Source organism: Homo sapiens, chromosome 7, assembly GCF_000001405.40.
Source record: "Homo sapiens chromosome 7, GRCh38.p14 Primary Assembly".
NCBI classification, from domain to species: Eukaryota; Metazoa; Chordata; class Mammalia; order Primates; family Hominidae; genus Homo; species Homo sapiens.
Window position 1 is genome coordinate 33,748,121 of NC_000007.14, and position 4,418 is coordinate 33,752,538.

The 4,418-nt window shown below is 42.7% G+C and overlaps 1 annotated feature.

The window, feature by feature from the left end:
* Window positions 2,840-4,039: an enhancer, noted in NCBI's record as "CDK7 strongly-dependent group 2 enhancer chr7:33790572-33791771 (GRCh37/hg19 assembly coordinates)". NCBI's record gives its function as "activates an origin of replication core promoter dependent on BRD2, BRD4, P300/CBP, MED14 and CDK7 cofactors, with strong dependence on CDK7, by STARR-seq in HCT116 cells {active_cell/tissue: HCT116}" and the evidence as "EXISTENCE:reporter gene assay evidence [ECO:0000049][PMID:35650434]".

Sequence of the window (4,418 nt, forward strand, 5' to 3'; positions counted from 1 at the left end):
AGTTCCGGGAACTTCTCCATAGAAAACAAACATCCCACTCTTGAACTTAGCCTCTTCTCCTCTCCAGCCGTCTATTCAACACCCCTTCCATCTTCAATTGCTCTTAGAATTAATTGGGACCTTTGACCAGCTCCCCATATATACATTTTCTCATTATCCATCACCTGCCTCCTGTCTTTATTGTTCAGTTCAGATTTCATAAAACTAATCTTTTACATATTAAATTCCTATGCATCTCTGTCCTTCCAAAATGGAATTAGCAAGACTCCAACCCTGGATCAATCCATCCTCTACCTTCTCCTGGCGTCTGAAAATCGCCGGAGGAAATCTGCACAACTGTGTCAATTTTTAACATCATAAATTCTGAAATAACAATGCTAACTGGGATCCCGATGGAGTACAGCAAACTTACTTCATTTTTCCAGAGAGCTCACTCTTCCCTCCTTCACCAAGATGCCTCCATTCCCTGTACTCTCTCTAAAAGTTGGTTCCACTGGAACCCTCCCTCAGTTTCAGCCTCATAGTGGAGCTGCCAGATGGAGCCTGTTGCTGAGCCCAGGCTCTCACTTGCCCCTACGCTCATCCGCCACTTCTTGCTCCTAACCACACTGGAGGAACTGTGCTCAGATCCCTCTCTGCTGCCTTCTTGGGGCCTCCTTCAGGTAGGAAGGCCCTCTCCTCCTTCATCTTAGCTTCTCCCCTTTATTACGTCCCTTTCAGGATTCAAACACACCCTCAAGTCTTAAAAATAAACAAGAACAACAGATCAGCAAACAAACCCAGCATCAAAATCTATTCGAGAGCCCAGTGTCCCAGGCCCTTATCCTGGAACTGGCTGAGCTCCAGGACAGGAATCCAACTGATGAAAGCCTCACTCTAGGGGATCCAGAGCAGCTGGAGGAATGCGTCCCATGGCCTCGCTGCACCGGGCAGCCACTGCGGCCGTGTTGCCTGGTGGCCATCTTTGGGAAGGGGACACCCCCTCAGCAGGATGCTGCAAAGGGAGAGTTCTGAAGGCAGAATCTATAAAAAGATTCTGTCCATATAAGCTTAGTGAGTGCTTCTCAAAGTGTAGCCCATGGGCCACCTACATCAGAGTCTCCTGGGGACATCTGGCAAAAACTTTTTTGGATTCCTGGACCCCATTCTATTGAGTCACAATCTCTGGGGAGTGTCTGTAAAACCTGCATTAAAAATTTCAACTTTTGGCCGAGCGTGGTGGCTCACGCCTGTAATCCCAGCACTTTGGGAGGTCGAGGCAGGTGGATCACGAGGTCAGGAGATTGAGACCATCCTGGCCAACATGGTGAAACCCCGTCTCTACTAAAAATACAAAAAATTAGCTGGGCATGGTGGCGGGTGCCTGTAGTCACAGCTACTCGGGAGGCTGAGGCAGGAGAATGGCGTGAACCCAGGAGGCGGAGCTTGCAGTGAGCCGAGATTGAGCCTCTGCACTCTAGCCTGGGCAACAAAGCAAGACTCTGTCTCAAAAAAAAAAAAAAGCAAATAAATAAATAAATAAAAATGTTTTTTTCAACTTTTATTTTTGACTCAGGGGGTACATGTGCAGGCTTGTTACACGGGTATATTGCATGATGCTGAGGTTTGGGGTATGAATGATTCCATCACTCAAGTAGTGAGCATTGTACCTAATAGGAAGTTTTCCAGCCCACATTCCCCTTCCTCCCTCCCGCTTCTAGTAGTCTCGACTTTCTATTGTTCCCATCTTTATGTTCATGTGTCCTCAATGCTTAGTTCCCACTTATAAGTGAAAACATGTGGTATTTGGTTTTCTGTTCCTGTATTCATTTGCTTAGGATCATAATCTCCAGCTGCATTCATGTTGCTGCAAAGGACCTGATTTCATTCTTGTTTATGGTTGTGTAGTATTCCATGGTGTATATGTACTATATTTCCTTTATCTAATCCATCTTTGATGGGCACCTAGATGGATTCCATGACTTCACTATTGTGAATAGTGCTGTGATGAACATATGAGTGTGTGTGTCCTTTTGGTAGAAAAGTTTATTTTCTTTTGGGTTTATACCCAGTAATGGGATTGATGGGTCAAATGGTAGTTCTGTTTTAAGCTCTTTGAGAAAACTACAAACTACCTTCCACAGTAGCTGGCCTAACTTACATTCCCACCAGCAGTGTTTAAGTGTTCCCTTTTCTTTGCAACCTCCCCAGCCTCTGCTATTTTTTGACTTTTTAATAATAGCCATGCTGACTGGGGTGAGATAGAATCTCATTGTGGTTTTGATTTGCATTTCTGTTATGACTAGTGACAATGAGCATTTTTAAAAATATGTTTCTTGGCCACTTGTATATCTTCTTTTGAGAAGCAGCTGTTCATGTCCTTTGCCCATCTTTTTTTTTTTTTTTTTTTTTTTTTTCTGAGACGGAGTCTTGCTCTGTAGCTCAGGCTGGAGTGCAGAGGTGTGATCTCAGCTAACTGCAACCTCTGCCTCCCAGGTTCAAGCGATTCTATTGCTCCGCCTCCCATGTAGCTGGGATTACAGGTGTGCACAACCATGCCTGGCTACTTTTTGTATTTTTAGTAGAGATGGAGTTTCACTGGATGTTGACCAGGCTGGTCTCGAACTCCTGACCTCAAGTGATCTGCCCACCTTGGCCTCCCAAAATGTTGGGATTACAGGTGTGAGCTACCGCTCCCAGCCTTGCCTGTCTTTTAATGAGGTCATTTGTTTTTTGCTTGCTGATTGAAGTTCCTTACACATTCTGGATAGTAGTCCTTTATTGGATGCATAGTCTGCAAATATTTTCTCTCATTGTGCAGGTTGTCTGTTTACTTTGTTGCTATTTTCTTTTGTTGTGCAGAGCCCTTTAGTATAATTAGGTCCCACTGTTGTTTTTTTGTTTTTCTTACAATTGCTTTTGGGGACTTAGCCATAAGTTCTTTGCCAAGGCTGATGTTGAGTAGGTGAAATCTGCATTATTAACAGTTCCCTAAATTACTCTTATGTGTACAAAGCAGCCTAGACCCTGAGAGATGATTAAATGATCTTCAGAAATTCCATTCTCCTCAGAATAACATTCTGTTCTTTTCTGGAAGACAATAAAAAAGTGGAGAAGCTCAGCCTTACCTACTTCTCTCCCTGAGAACTACTAGGGGAGACCTGGGCACGTATCTTCGAAATGCACGGGCCCCCCTTGCTCTTTGATATCTGATGTTCTGGGAGAACACGTATAGGTTCTGACAATGTTTAAAACCTCCTAGTAGGGGCACAACAGTCTCTGATAACACACACATGCACACACACACACACACACACACACACATGGATTCTAAACATGCAAAAAATTCCTGTAAGGCCTGGTAGATATGATGTCAGAAAGAAAAACAATTGCAATATCTTTTGTGTACTATGTCACAGAACTGCAGCCAGGGAAGGGGTTAACATGTTATTCTCTGCAGGTAAGTTTCCTCTCTCTCTCTCTCTTTCTCAATCCATTCTTTAAAGGGCTGGGTAAATCATTGGTGGAGCTGGGCGGGATAGCAGGCAGAGGGAGGGTGTTCAGGCTGCATTTTAGGGGAAGCTGCAAGGACAATTGGGGCAGGAGGGTCCACAGAGTTACCCAAGGGGAAGAAGGACATTGATCCAGCTGCCTCTGTCTGTGGGGTAGCTTCTCACCATGTTCCCTTCTCTATCAGCTTTTGTCTTCTCTGGACACTAAAAAAACAAACCCAAATATGGTCAAATAGAAGAAAAGGAAGGCAAAGAAAAGGAGGAGGAGGAAAAGGAAAATGAAAGAGAAAAGAAAGAAGAAATTCTTTTAAAAGAAAAAGAAGCTAGAAAGTTACAAGGTGAATAAAATTAAAACACTGCCAGAAAAAAAATGTAAGAAAAACAAAGTATTAGTTGAAAATAAAATTTAAAATGTTTGTAAGATAAGGTACATGTGATAAAATGAATGATATTTAAAATAAAAGATAAGAGGCTTGAAGTTAATAAGATAAAAGTTTAAAAGCATAAGCATAGAGGAGGTAAAATATTAAGATAAAATGCTCATAGATGAAAAGCTGAAAATGTAAATCTACAGTTACACGCCATATTACGATGTTTTATTAAACCACAGGACCACATAGATGATGGTGGGCCCATAAGATTATAATACAGTATTTTTACTCTATCTTTTCTGTGTTTAGATATCTTATACACAAATACTGCTGTGTTACAGTTGCCTACGGTATTCAGTACAGGACCATGCTGTACAGGTCTGTAGTCTAGGAGCACTAGGCCATACCACATAGCCTCGGTGTGTAGGAGGCCCTACCATCTAGGTTGTGTAATGCACTCTGTGATGGTCACAACAACGAAATCACCTAAGGACACATATCTCCAAATATATCCCCATCATTAAGCAATGCGTGACTGTAGATGGGATTAGCAATT